Source organism: Homo sapiens, chromosome 11 (genome assembly GCF_000001405.40).
Source record: "Homo sapiens chromosome 11, GRCh38.p14 Primary Assembly".
Taxonomy (NCBI): Eukaryota; Metazoa; Chordata; class Mammalia; order Primates; family Hominidae; genus Homo; species Homo sapiens.
Window position 1 is genome coordinate 58,589,025 of NC_000011.10, and position 15,720 is coordinate 58,604,744.

The following is a 15,720-nucleotide window of genomic DNA, read 5'->3' on the forward strand; positions in this document are numbered from 1 at the left end:
AAGGGCGTGTATAAGCCCAGTCTTAACACTCAGATAGGCTTTTAAGGTTTTTTTTGTTTGTTTTTGAGACAGGGTCTCATTTTATTGCCCAGGCTGGAGTGCAGTGGTGTGATCATGGCCCACTGCAGTGTTGATCTCCTGGGCTCAAGCCATCCTCCTGCCTCAGCTTCCCAAGTAGCTGGGACTACAGAAGTGTGCCGCCATTTCCAGCTAATTGTTTTTGATTTTTTTGTAGAGACAGGGTCTCACTGTGTTGCCTAGCCTGGTCTGGCTAGGCAGTCCTCTTGCCTCGGCCTCCCAAAGTGCTGGAATTTATAGGCATAAGCCACTACACCCAGCCTGTTAGTTTTAACTGAAATATTCCCCTTTACCAATTAAATGATACTGTTCTAAATTTAAATGTAAGTTAAAAACAACAACAACAACAAAAGCCTCTTTCCCTGGCTTCTCTTAATACTACTGAGATTGGCTAATATTTCAAAGCAAACTTTAATTATTTATGGAAAACAAAGTGCAGCTAGTGATAGAAATACACAGAGTAGTTCAGTTAGGTTTCAGAAACTCAAGTTTCTGACAATATAATGTTCAAGCCTCAAAGGCTAAATACAGTAGATAGACATTTTTGTTTGTCCTTCCTTCCTAATCTTTTATCTTAAGGTAGCAGTAACTGTATTATTTCTCTTAGTATGAGAATAATTTACTCAGACATCTTGTTCCATGTTGGGTATGGCCCAGATCCTTTAATCCGTATTGCTAGTTCAGACATCCAAACCTCCTTTGGTTCTTTTCCATTATTAATTTCCTACAAATAAAGATATATGTCACTTATAATATGTGAATTGTGATGTAGGCTTAAAAAGCCTTGATCATCAGCTTATTTCAGTTATGGGATTACCTATCAGGTAAATGAGTCTTAACTTTATAATAATTTGCCTATTACAGCTCAACTTATTGCCATCTTCGACACAGTTATAAGTTTATTCTGCTATATATATTATTTTACATTGAGATCCCTTTTCCTGCCAAGACCACTTGAGAGTTAAAGCAGAATGCCCTGATAGAAGAAAACTGAAGCAGAGGAAACTTAAAATCCTTAGTGGGGAAAGCCATATTCAGCCAGTACAAATCCAAAACCTTTAAGAGAGACTTGCTTGTATCTTCATTTTGAAATGAGCCTTAGTGGATAAGAATCTGTGACAAAAAGTAATATTGCCCCTTGACTGTTAAGTTCAAGAAAGAAGAAATTCCTCTGAATTAAAACCAGCCTGAATAATCTAATGCTATCCGGGCAAAGGCTTCTTTAGCTTCATAACAAACCATCTAAAAATTTAGTGGCTTAAAACACAGCAATTTATTATTTACTGGTTGGGCCATTCCCCCCTCCTCATTGGTCATTCAGTTCAGACTTGTTTTATATTATGGTGGTTGTGGCGCAGTGTTCCAAAATCCTGAAGGCAGTAACTGCAAGGTGTCTTGAAACCACCCCCACAGTATAATCAATCAGTTGTATTTCTGTATATCAGCAACAAAAAATAGAAAATCGAAGTCATAAAATCAAAATAAAATTTATATTAGTATTTACAACCCTATAAGCAAGATATACTGCTCCATTTACTTAGGTTTTTAATTTTACTCAGCAATGTTTTGTACTTTTCAGTGTATAGGTCTTTCAAATTTTTTATCCCATATATCCCTGAGTATTTCATATTTTTTGATGCTGTTAGCTTAGCTTAATTGGGATTCCCACTGTGTTTAAGAGTGGGATTGATTCTTTAAGAAAGAAGAGGTGCCTAGATGCTTTGTGGATATCCAGTCATGGCTACTGTACATTTATATTCTATTATTTAACCGTTACCTAACTGAAGGGCATTTGATATTTCTGGGTTTTTTTTTTTTCCTGAGATTACAGGTGATTTTTAGAGAAATCCTATTAAAATGTACCATACGTATACAGAAATGCACATATTATAAGACATATACATGTACTCTTGTTTCTCCTCCCCCTTCTTTATTTTATAAGTGGGTGGACCCAGGGTGAGCCCAATCATGTAACCATTTACACAACTGAAGAAATAAAACATAATTGTTTTGGAAACTCCCTTATGCTCCTTCAAGTCAACCGCCCCCAAGTGTAACCACTATTTTGACTTTAGCAGAAATTAGATTTGCCAATTTTTGAATTTTACATAAATGGGATAATACAGTAGGCACTCTTTTGTGTCTCGCTTATTTTGCTCATCATTTGTGACAAATGCTGTGTTTGTCATAGATCGTTTATTTTAGTTGTTGTATAGTGTCCCATTGTGGGAATATAACCACAGTTTAACTGTTTTACTGTTGATGGATGTTTGGGCAGTTTTCAGTTATTAGTCTTTATGACTAGTACTGTGATGTATATTTTTGAAATATAGTGTTATTGGGATGTAATTTATACATCATAAAATTCACCCATTTCAAATGTACAATTTAGGGATCTTGGTACATTGTATGAATTGCACACCTATCACAATACAGTTTTAGAACTTTTTCTTCACCCTAATAATGTCCTTCATGCCTGTTTATAGTTAATCCGTATTCTCACCCCCAACCCTAGGCAACCATTAATCTACTTTCTGTCTGTATAGATTTGTTTTTTTTCTGGACATTTTGTGTAAATGGACTCAGACATACAATTTGTGTTTGTATATAGGAAGCATTATGCAATGTATGTAGGAAGCATTATGCAGGCAAGACAAATTTGTATCTAGAGTCTATTCCAGTAACAACAAAGCACTGCCACTTCCATGATGGAAGTGGTCCAATGTAGCGAACCTTGCACCAGGTGAGCTGGATGATCACCCCAGGGAATGGTGCCATATCAGGGACTCGGTGTTGGTCTCTGCTGCTGGCATATTAGGCAATTAGCAGTGGCTGTAGCCAGGTCAGCCTGGGTTTGGTTTTCAGCAATCTCAGTTTTGCAGCTGTAGTAGGTAAGTATTGTTTTCAGGAAAGACACAGAAACTTTGAGGTAATTTTTGTGATGCTCGAGCTGGGAATTTGAACCCCTGAGCACATCTTTTTTTTTTTTTTTTTTTTTTGGAGACTGAATTTCACTCTTGCCCAGGCTGGAGTGCAGTGACGTGATATCGGCTCACTGCAGCCTCTGCCTCCTGGGTTCAAGTGATCCTCCTGCCTCAGCCTCCTGATTAGCTGGGATTAGAGGTGGTGTACCACCACATCTGCCTAATTTTTTGTATTTTTTTAGTAGAGATGGAGTTTCACCATGTTGGCCAGCCTGGTCTCAAACTCCTGACCTCAGATGATCTCCCTGCCTCAGCCTCCCAAAGTGCTGGGATTATAGGCATGATCCACCGTGTCCAGTCTGCACATCCTTTTCTTTATCCACTTCATGTTTTCTAGTTAAGAGCAACCAGCTAATTTCATTATATCATTACTTTGACCAGAATGTTCTAAGGTATCAAACAGATGATCTTTAAAATGAAGGAAATTCTGTCATTCGTGACAACGTGGGTGGAACCAGAGGACATTATGCTAAGTAAAATGCGCCAAGCACAGAAGGATAACACTGTATGATCTCGCTTGTGTGTAATCTAAATAACTGTCTCATAGAAATGTAGTTACCGAACGCTGGGGGGTTAGGAGGTGGAATGAGAAAAGGGGAGATGGAGATGAAAAGGTACATACAGACTTTCAGTTAAATTGGGAGAGTAGGTTTTAATGATCTATTGCACTGTGTATTAGTCCCTTTTGAGTTGCTAGAAAGGAATATGTGAGACTGAATGATTTGTAAAGAAAAGAGTTTTTTCTGACTCATGGTTCTGCAGGCTGTACAAGCATGGCACCAGCATCAGCTAGACTTCTGGTGAGGCCCCTGGAAGCTTTCGCTTGTGGTGGAAGGTGGAGGTGGAGCAGGTGTGTCACAGAGTGAGAGCGAGAGAGAGGGGAGGAGGGGCTAGGCTCTTAAACAACCAGGTCTCACATGAAGCAATAGAGAACTCACCTATTACCACAGGGATGGCACCAAGCCATTCATGAGGGATCCACCCCCATTACACAAACACCTCCCACATCCAATATTAGGGATCACATTTCAACATGAGATTTGAAGAGGACAAACATCCAAACTATATCACACTGCACGGTGACCACAGTTAATAATAATGTATTACATATTTCACAGTTGCTAAGTTGGTGTGTGTTCTATTGTTTTGAATGAAACTCTAAGTTTATCTGTCTGTCCCCAGCAGCCACCAGATGCTCAGAGAGCACCAGCAGGTGATGAAACTGCATGGGTCCCCTTATCAACACTGTATACTTAGGCTACAATAAATTTATACACAAATATTTTTCTCTGCTCTTTCCTTTTCTTAAACGTGTTCTCAATATTAGTGCTACGCTTGTATATGTCTTTCATGCCCCAGAAAAAGTGATATGAACAGAACAAGATTGTACTGTGGTTGTTTTTAATATATTTTTTAATGCAAAACTGCTGCTGGAAGAGAGAAATCAATGAATAAGCCAGATGTTGGGGATAGCCAAAAACAACACATTTCATAAATATTGAAAATGATCCATTTTATATGAACCAAGCTAAATCTAGACAATAATAGTTTGTTTTTATGTGCTGACAATTCCCAATTTTATGTTTGTAGCCCGCCCTGTCCTTTGAACTTTAGGCCTGTTGATGTTTTACTCAGCAGTAATCTCAGACTTGGTCAAAGCAGAACACATATTCTCTCTAGTGTCTCTTCAAGAAACAAAAAACCCTGATCTTTTTCTTTGTTTTCATCATCAGTCCAATTGTTCAAGTCAGAAATCTAGAATCCCAAATCCTTGGCATCTCCCTCTATCCCTGTTAAGTTATTCTCTAGTCCTGTCTCGTCTGTTTCCTAAGTATTTCTTATATCTCTAATTCTTTCCATATTCAGTGGTATTACCCTCTTTAAAGCCATTATTATCTGTTGCCTGGCATATTGGAGTAGGTTTTTAGCTGGTTACCTAGCATCTACTCTTGCCCCTACCTAGCTCATTGTCTAGCCTGCAGCCAACATGAACATTAAAAATGCAAATCTGATCATGTCACCGTTCTGTTTAAACTCTGTCTGTGGCTATTAGGATAAGATTCAAAATCCTGGAAGGACCTTGTTAGACTTTTTTATGCCTCCTCGGCATGATAAATGATGGGTTTTGTCATGTTTTCTCTGCTGCAGTCATGTTTATCTTCTTTCTTTCAATTCTCAAGACATGTACATGTACTCGTTTCTCCTGCCCCTTCTTTATCAGCTAGCTACCACTTATTTATTCTTCAGAGTTCACCATATTTATTTAAACTTAAATGTTGAGCTAATTCTTAGCTATAGAGATCATTAAGTTAATAAGCACTAGTTTTAAGAGCTGTGTTTTCAGAGAAACCATCCTTTCACCTTCTCAAACTTATGTCTGAGCAAAGTCTTAATGTTTTTAAGAAGCAGAACTAATTCACCTAATGCCTATACTTTGAACTTTGATGACATTACTTTGTGATTCTATTTTTGTTTTGCTCCAAAATTTTAATATCTGCAGAAATTCTGTGAAAGCCTAATATTTTTTATCCTTTCTGTCAGTGCACCAGTGGCTGATGTCTGCTTTGAAATCAGTAAGCCAGGAAAAAACATATGTAGATGGAGTAAACAGAGATGACTAGAATAAGAAAGAAAAATCTAGGCATTAATACACAGTGTTGATTTAAAAATGAGTAAACTGTTTTGGAATGTAAACATTCTAAATTTCTTAAATACAATTTTAAAATCTCATTTATTTTCCGGTTTTTAATCACAATAAAATTTCTCTAGTTCTGTTTTGAAACATAAGGAAATACAGCATGTGGCTTTAGGTTAAAAATTCACTCATGGAATAATTCTTACAGGTGTTTCAGGTTAGTATATTATATAAATGGGGCCCTCTTGGCACTTGAATCCAAGGCTGGGTGGAAATGAGCCAAATCTGGATTGAGCCCTTGCCGTGGTGCTTTCCATTTCTCGTTTATATGGTTAGGTGTGGTATAGTAGAAAGAATATAGACTGGACTTAGATATACCCGTGTTCAGTTCCCTCAGCAGCTTTTAATATGTGCACTTGGGAAAGTCAGTTACTTGGTTTCTTCATCTATGAAGATAAGAATAATAAATACTTGATAGGGTTATAACTGATTTTTGAGAAATGAAAAAAATATATATTACCTAGCAGTTAATACTTAAGATTTGTTAATTGCCCAGAAGAAATTTAAATACTTAAAGAGAGATTTGAAGACCTTTACCTTTAGTATCTTCCCAGCTTATCAACTAACCACACCCTGTTTCACCCTACAATAAAATAATAGCATTGATTATGTTAGAATGGCCCTTCTAACTTAAAGTATTTTATCATGACCAAGTGGCTCTCATCTTTTGGAATTTGATGGTTTGACTTGTTATAATAATTATCTCTGGCTGTAGGATTGAGATAAATCATATTTCATTGTCTGCTATCTAGAAGAATTAGAAGAAAACATTCCTGCCAGTAGTATCAATCTTTTTTTTTTTTTTTTTGGTTTTGAGACGGGGTCGTACTTTGTTGCCCAGGCTGGAATGCAGTGGTGCGATCTCAACTCACTGCAACCTCTGCCTCCTGGGTTCAAGCAGTTCTCTTGTCTTGACCTCCTGAGTAGCTGGGACTGGTGTGCGCCACCACCGGCCTGGCTAATTTTTGTATTTTTAGTAGAGACAGGGTTTCATCATGTTGGCGAGGCTGGTCTGGAACTCCTGACCTCAAGTGACCTACCCATCTCCACCTCCCAAAGTGCTGGGTATAGGCTTGAGCCAGCACGCCTGGCCTAGCATTAATCTCTTATTGTCTCAACTCATAGTATAAACCACTCTTACTTCATACCTTCTTTCAAGAATGTACAGTTGGCCCTTGAACAACATGGTAGGGTTAGGGGCACCACCTCCCCCTCACAAACAAAAACCTGCATTTAACTTCCCAGAAACTTTACTAATAGCCTGCTGTTGACCAGAAGCTTTATCAATAACATAAAGTCAACTAATTCATATTTTATATGTGTATTATATCCTGTATTCTTACAGTAAAATAATCTGGAGAGAAGAAAATTTATTTAAAAAAACCATAAGGAAGAGAATATATTTACTATTCATTAAGTGTAAGTGGATCGTTATAAGGTCTTTGTCCTCTTCTTCACATTGAGTAGGCTAAGGAGGAGGAAGAAGAAGAATCGTTACTCTTATCTCAGGGGGTGACAGAGGTAGAAGGAGTGGCAGGAACATTTGGCGTAGCTTTACAGAAATACAATTTCTGCCTGACTTCTTTTTTGCTTTTTCGTTTCTCTACAAATGTTTCTACACTTTAACCATTTGCTTTAGTTTCAGGGCAGATATCATAGAAGGGTTCCTGTCATAAAAGGAAGTCAAAAGCAGTCTTGAATAATTGGAACCTTTCTGCCAGAATTTCTAAGTTTTTAATGTTAGTTTGTTTTCTGGCATTGCTGCTTATATGTTGTCTTTCTGATCGTCTGGCCCCTGTTCAAAAGCACTCATCTTCATCATGTCATCTTGTTACTTCCTCTTGTGTGGTGTCTGTTTGCACCTGAATTTATCCAAGATGCTTATTTTTAAAGGCTTCACCATCACCACCCCACCACCACCTTTTTTTTTTTTTTGCCATATTCACAATCTCTTTCATGATTTCCTTGATTGGCTCTGCCATAAATCCTGTGAAGTCATGCACAACATCTGGACACAATTTTCTCCAGCAGGAATTTTCTATAACGATGGCATCTTCAGTGGTGTAATCCTTCCTGACTTTCATGATGTTCTCTCTATTGGGATTTTCTTACATGGAGTTAACAGTCCTTTTCCATAGAATATCGTGTAATGAGACTTAAAGATTCTTATGACCCGCTGATTGGGAAGGTGAATTAGAGACATTGTGTTTGGGGGGCAAGTAGACCACTTCAACACCTTTGATGTTAAATTCATGAGGTAACCAGGGGCATTGTCCAATATCAAAAGAACCATAAAAGGCAGTCCCTAACTGGCAAGGTACTTTTTTACTTCAGGGGCAAAGCATCAATGGAACCAGTCTAGAAAATTAGTTCTTGTTTTCCTGACCTTTTTGTTGTACCACCAAAAGATTGTTAGTTTTTCTCTTCGAGGCTCAGGAGTTAGTAGCTTTATAGATAAGGGCAGCCCTGATCATAAACCTAACTGCTTTTACACAAAACAGTGGAGTTAGCCTATCCTTTCCTGCTTTAAATCTTGTTGCTTACTTCCCCACCTTACTAATATAATAAATGTCTCTTGTGGCATTTTTTTCTGGACTGGGGTAGTTGCATTAAAAACTTAGGCAGATATCCTTCCTCAGCTGTTTTCTTAACAGTGCCTGGGAACTTGTCTGCTGCCTCTTGGTCAGTAGAAGCTGTTTCTCCTATTATCTTGACATTTTTAAAGCCAAATCTCTTTCTGAAATTATCAAACCATTCTTTGCTGACATTAAATTCTTTCTTCACCTTTCTTTTGCTTTAAGTTGTCATATAATGAGTTTACTTAGAGTCTGTAGGTATGCCTTTCTTATAGCAATTCTGTACCCACATAAAAGCTGCATCTTGAATGTGAGATAAAAGTATTTTGCAAAAACTGCAAGATTTTTGCACCTGCTACTGTAGGTGCAGCAGTGGCTTCACAAATTTCCTTTTCTTCAATACTTTTTATGTTGGATTCATTTATCTTAAAATGGTGAGCAACTGCAGCTACACACCTCAACCTTCTATGCTTATTAAGCAATTCAACTTTTTCTTGTAATACCGTGACTTTTCTCTGCTTCTTGGAAGCACTTCCAGTATCACTAGTGGCAACTCTTATGGGTCCCGTAGTGTTAGTCAAGGTTTCAGGTATTGCTCTAAACATAGTGAAAAATGAGTTAACTGAGAGATACCACTTCTACTGTGACAGTAAATTCACTCAGGTGGTGATGATTATCCTCATGACATTTTAAGCAGATACTTGAAACAGCTGAGCTTGCTGCAATAGCAACAGGAGATAGCTATGAAATTATTATGTACGGAGTTAATTTTATGCAGTTATTCATTAGTACATCTTTACGTTTCTTTACATTTCTCTGGACTTTGGATGATACCATATATAGTCTAAGACTTTGTGTGTGTAAGTTTTGTTGAATTTTAACTTTTTATATTTGTGTATATTTTACAGTAATGTCATCAAATAGAGTGGTATCTATAGTTTATGCATTCATGACATAACTTAATTTTTCAATATTTCTAGGCTACACAGTTTGTCTGCAAGTTTTTTCAAATTGTCACAAATCTCCAAAAAATTTTCTTACATATTTTAAAAAACTGGCGTATGAATGGATCCATGCAGTTCAAAGCTTTGTTGTTCAAGGGTTAACTAACTGTAGTTATATTCACTGTGCCTGCATGTTGCTCATGCAGTGACTAGTATGATGTCTTCCTTTACCCAAGCTAGTATGGCTTTTTTCTCTTATTATTTATGTATCAAGGAACCTCCTCAAGGTTAGCTGCTATTATAAGAAACAACTGGAAATTGTCTTTGAAGTACCACACAGAAGAAACTTGGCTTGTTTCCTATCTGTTTATGATTGTTTATGCTAATGTATGGATTGTCCTTCAGTTGTCAATTTCTATTCCAGAAACCTGGCAATACTTTTGTGCACGTGTGTGTGTGTGTGTGTGTGTGTGTGTGTGTGTGTGTTTTGAGGTGAAATTCACATAACAAAAAAATAGTAAAAAATACTTGAAAGCATACAATTCAGTGACATTTGGTACATTTACAGTGTTGTACAACCATCACTTCTATCTAGTTCCAAACATTTTCATCACCACCAACAAAGGAGACCCCTGTACCCATTAAAAGCAGTTATTCCCCCTTCCCTCCTGTTCAGCTGCAACAAACATTAATCTGCTTTGTCTCTATGGATTTACCTATTCTGGATATTATATGTAATTGGAATCATACAATATGTGCAATATGTGACTTTTGTTTCTAGCATCTATCATATAGCATATTTTTAAGGTTCACATTGTAACATGTTAAGATTGCATTCCTTTTTATGGCTGGATAAAAATTTTCGTTGTATGTATATATGACATTTTGTTTATCCATTCACTGGTTAATGGATATTTGGGTTGTTTCCACAATTTGGGTATTGAGAATTGTGCTTCTATGAATATTCATATGTAATAAGTATTTCTTTGAATAGCTGTTTTCAATTTTTGGTGTATGTACCTAGAAGTGGAATTGCTGGATCATATGGTAATTCTGTGTCTAAGTTTTTCTTAACATTTTTCTTAACACTGTTTTCTTAGGTTTTCCATAACACTGTTTTCCTCATTAGCTGCCTCATTTTACATGTCCACCAGCAATAAACAATGGTTCCAATTTCTCTGCATTCTCACCAACACTTCTTATTTTCTTTTTTTATTATTTTTAGTTAGCCATTGTAGTATGTGGGAAATGGTAATCTCATGTGATTTTGATTTGCATTTCGTTAATGACTGATGTTCCGTATCTTTTCAAGTACTTTTTTGGCCTTTTGTATATCTCTGGAGAAATAATCTGTTTAGGTTCTTTGCCCATGTTTTAATTGGGTTGTTTCTCTTTTTGTTGTTAAATCCAAAGACTTTATATATTTTGGATATTAGACTTTTACCAGATATATGACTTGCAAATATATTCTCCCATTCTGTAGGGTTATCTTCACTTCTATGCATTTTTTAGTGCTAGCTCCTGTGTTTAGGTCTTTGATCCATTTTGAGTTAATTTTTATATATGGTATAAGGTAGGAATACAACGTCATTTTTTGCATGTGGATATCCATTTGTCTTAGCACCATTTCTTGAAGAGACTGTTTTCACCTACTGAATGGTCTTAGCCACCTTCTTAAAAATCAGTTGACCACAGATGTATAGATTTATATCTGGACCTTTAATTCAGTTAGTTGATTCAATTATTATTAGTTTTATGCCGGTAATACATTGTATTGATTACTGAAGCTTTATAGTAAGTGTTGAAATTGAGAAGAAAAAAGTGCGTCTTTAATTCTGTTTGTTTTCAAGATGGCTGTGACTAGTGTAGATCCCTTGCATTTTCCTGTGAACTTTAGGATTGGGTTGTCAATTTCTACCAAAAAGGAAGCTGGGGTTTTGATAAGAATTACAGTTAATCTGTGGGTTTATTTTCAGAGTATTGTCATCTTAACAATTTTTCAATATTTTATTCCTTTTTATTCTATTGTAAAGGTAATCATTTTCTTAATTTCCTTTTTGTTCATTGCTAATATACTTAAAACAATGAATGTTATATGTTGGTCATATATTCTGGCACTTTGAATAAAGGTAATAATTATTTTCTTAATTTCCTTTTTGTTCATTGCTAATATGCTTAAAACAATGAATGTTACGTGTTGGTATTATATTCTGGCCCTTCGAATTTGTATATGACCTTTAACAGTTTTCTTTTGTGAAAATTCTTTAGAATTTTCTATATGTAAGGTCTTTTCACCTGCAAATAGAGATACAGTTTTACTTCTTCCTTTTCACTTTGGGTGCCTCTTTTTTTACTTGAGTAATTACTTGGCTAGAACTTCCAGTACAGTGTTGAATGGAAGTGAAGAATGAGGGCATCCTTGTCTTGTTCCTGACCTTAGCAGGAGAGCTTTGTCTTTTACCACTGCGTATGATGTGAGCTCTGGGGTTTTTAAAGGTGTTCTTTGTCAAGTTGAGGAAGTTCAATTCTATTCCCAGTTTTTTGTGTGTTCTTATCATGAAAGTTTAATTTTGTCAGGTTCTTTTTCTTTTTTCTACATCAATTGAGATAATGGTGTGTTTTTTCCTCTCTTTATTAATGTGGGATATTACATATGTTTTTGTATATCGAACCACCCTCATAATCCTGGGACCTGTCTCAATTGATTATAGTGTTTAATCTTCTTAATATGATGCTATATTTGGTTTGCAAGGGATATTGGCTTATGGTTTTTTGTGGTGTCTTTGTCTGGCTTTGGTGTCAGAATAATGCTGTGTTTATAGGATGTGTTGGGAAGTGTTCCATCTTCTATTTTTTAAGAGAGTTTGAGGAAGACTGGAGTTAATTCTTTAAATGTGTGGTAGAATCAACCAATGAAACCATCTAGAGGCTTCTGGCCTTTTTATTGGGAGCTTTTTGTTTACTGACTCAGTTGTCTACTTGTTAAAGATATGTTCATCTTTTCCATTTCTTGTTGAATTGTTTTTGGTAATTTGTGTGTGCCTAAGAAGTTGTTGATTTCATCTATGTTATTTGTTGGCAAACAGTTGTTCATTGTGTTTTCTTATGTTTATTTCAGTGGTAGTGTCCCATTTTCATTTCTGGTTTTAGTAATTTGGGTCTTCTCTTATTAACCAAAAGTTTGTTGATTTTGTTATCTTGTCAAAGAACCAACTTATTTACTTTATTCTGCTAGCTTTGGGTTTACTCTGCTCCTTTTTTCCTAGCTCTTATGGGTATGATGTTAGGTTATTGATTCAGGCATGTGATTTTTTTTTTTTTCTATTTTAATGTAGGCATTTATATCTAGAAATTTTACTCTGAGAACTGCTTTCACTGCATCCCCTAGGTTTTGGGATATTTTGTTTTCATTTTCAGTCATCTCTAAGTATTTTGTAATTTTCCTTGTGATTTATTCTTTGATCCATTGGTTTAACAGTGTGTTAATTTTCATGTATTTGTGAGTTTTCTAGTTTTCCTTCTGATATTGATTTCTAGTTTCATTCAATTGTGGTCAGAGAGAACGTACTTTATATGACTGCAGCCATTTGAAATTTATTGAGACTTTTCAATATGTCTGTGAATTTTTTTTTTCCCCCAAGATGGAGTCTCGTTCTATCGCCCAGGCTGGAGTGCAGTGGTGTGATCTTGGCTCAATGCAACCTCCACCTCCTGGGTTCAAGCAGTTCTCCTGCCTCAGCGTCCTCGAGTAGCTGGGACTACAGACACACGCCACCATGCCCGGCTAATTTTTGTATTCTTAGTAGAGACAGGGTTTCGCCATGTTGGCCAGGCTGATCTCAAACTCCTGACCTCAGGTGATCTGCCTGCCTCAGCCTCCCAAAGTGTTGGGATTACAGGTGTGAGCCACTGCGCCTGGCCCAATATGTCTGTTTTTTAACATTATGTCTAATTTTGTCTAATATGTCTAATTTTTTAATTTTGCTTGAGTTCTGTATTTCCTTATCAAACTTCTGACTGGTGTTTGGTTCTGTTATTGAAAGTGGGATACAGATGTCTCCATTTTTGTGATTGTGGTATTACCTGTTTCTCTTCAGTTCTGTAAATCTTTGCTATGTATGTTATATGTTGATATATCTCGAGAGAGAGATGGGGGGAGAGGGAGAGGGGGCCTGTGTTAGCTATGTATAGGTTTATATTTATTATATTTTCTAGATTGATTGACCCTCTCATTAACGTATAATGTTCTTTGTGTTTTGTAACAGTTGTTGAAGTGCATTTTGCCTGATATTAGTAGGGCCACCTTTACGAGTTGAATTGCTTTCCTCAAAAGATGTTGAAGTCTTAACTCAGGTACCTGTGAATGGAACATTGAGAAATAGGGGCTTTGTAGTAAATAGGCTTTTGTGGTAATTTGTTATGGCAGCCCTAGGAAACTAATACATTTTGGTATTGGAAGTGGGCTATGAAAAAGTACCTAAAAATGTTGGCATAGCTTTGGGATTGGGTAATGGATATTGGCTTTGAGTATTTTGAGGTATGGTGCATGCCTCTAATCCCAGCTATACTCGGGAGGCTGAGGCAGGAGAATTGCTTGAACCTAGGAGGCGATGATTGCGGTGAGCCAAGATTGCGCCGTTGCACTCCAGCCTGGGCAACAAGAGTGAAACTCTGTCTCAAAAAAAAAGAAAAGAAAAAACAGCGTAGATTGCCTTGAAGAGATGGTCAACAGAAATATGAGTGTTAAAGGCAGTCTGATGAGGCCTTAGAAGGAAATGATGAACATGTTATTGGACAGTGGAGAAAAGGTGATCCTTGTTATAAAGTTGCAGAGAACTTGACTGAATTGTGTTCTATCATTGGGTAAGCAATGAACTTGGATATTTATCTGAGTAGATTTACAAACAACGTGTAGAAGGTATAGCCTTGTTTCTTCTTGCTTATATACTAATGTGTGAGAGGAAAGATATAAATTGAGGAATGAATTGTTTAGCAAAAAGGAGCCAGCACTTGATAATTTGAAAATTTTTTAGTCTGTCCAAATAGTGTATTGTGGTACAGGACCAAGGCTGTGACTGGACAGCTATTCTCTAAAGAGACTTGGTATATAACTTGTGGATCGAATCAGCCATCTCAGCACTTCCCAGAATAGACATGCAATTTTTCAGGAAAGATCTGTGGAGGACTCTCATTTGGTGGCTTCGACCCCCTGAATTTCATGAAAGACTGACAAAGTTTTTGAGAATGTTGTGACAGCAGAAACACTGCCAGGCTGGCCTGAATGGGACAGAGACAGAATGGAATTAAAGAAGAATGATGCTGAGGGTAGAGCTGCAAATGCTGGGTCCTGGGTGTATTAGACTTCCTGGGGCCACGATGGCAGGGCTATTTCCCCAGTGGACTCAGAGTACAAACCATTATCCACAAAAGCTTATTCTTAGGGCTTAAAGTCTAATGCTTTTCGCTAGGTTTTGGACTAACTTGGGACCCCTGACCCTTTTTCCCCCCTTCTATTTTCTTCCTTTTGATATGGAGATGTGTAATCTATAAGTGTCCCACCATTGTTTTTTGGAATCAGCTCCACAGATGGAGAAGAATTTTGCTCTAGAGTGGACCATACCCCCAGTCTCATTCATAACTGATCTAGATGATGAGATTTGATCCCTTTTGAGTTGATGATTTTTAGGTATTGTTTGGATTTAGACTTGATACTGGAATGGGTTAAGACTCTGGGAGGTTGGGATTAGGTGAATGTATTTTGCACATTGGAAGGACATAAATTTTAGGGAACCAGAAGGTACAGACTACTACGGGTTGAATTTTATCCCTCCAAAAATGTGTTGAGTCCTAGCCCTTAATACCTGTAAATATGAACTTATTTGGAAATAGGATCTTTGCAGATGTAATCAAGTTATAATGGAGTTATTCTGTATTACAATGGGCCCTAATCCACTATGACTGATGTCCTTATAAGAATAAGGACATCACACATGGGACAGGAGGAAACACCGTGTGATGATGGAGATAGAATTGAAGTTAGCAGCTATAAGCCAAGTTGTTGACCACCACCAAAAGCTAGGAAGAGGCAAGGAATGATTCTTCTCAGAGTCTGAGAGGGAGTGTGGTCTGTTATTGTGTTGATTTTGGACTTTTATCCTCCAGAAGTATGGGAGAATAGATTTCTGTTGTTTTAAGACATCCCAGTTTGTTGTGATTGGTAGAGCAGCCCTGGTAGACTAATACATTATTTCAGCTCTCTCTTGCTTACTATTCGCATGTAATATCTTAATCCATTCTTTTACTTTGAACCTGTTTGTGTCTTTGGATCTAAAGCAAACTTGTCCACTATGGCCTGCAGTCTGAATGCGGCTCAGAACGGCTTTGAATGTGTCCCAACACAAAATCGTAAACTTTCTTAACACATTATGAGTTCTTTTTTAAAT

General features: G+C 37.0%; 1 protein-coding gene and 1 long non-coding RNA gene across 3 annotated transcripts in view; both read left to right on the forward strand.

Annotated features, from left to right (window-relative positions):
- Positions 1 to 15,720, forward strand: part of ZFP91 (ZFP91 zinc finger protein, atypical E3 ubiquitin ligase) — a 42,488-nt gene that overhangs the window by 9,962 nt on the left and 16,806 nt on the right. The gene's annotated exons all lie outside the window — the stretch shown is intronic.
- ZFP91-CNTF (ZFP91-CNTF readthrough (NMD candidate)) overlaps positions 1 to 15,720 on the forward strand; it is a 46,620-nt gene that overhangs the window by 9,911 nt on the left and 20,989 nt on the right. The window lies entirely within an intron of this gene.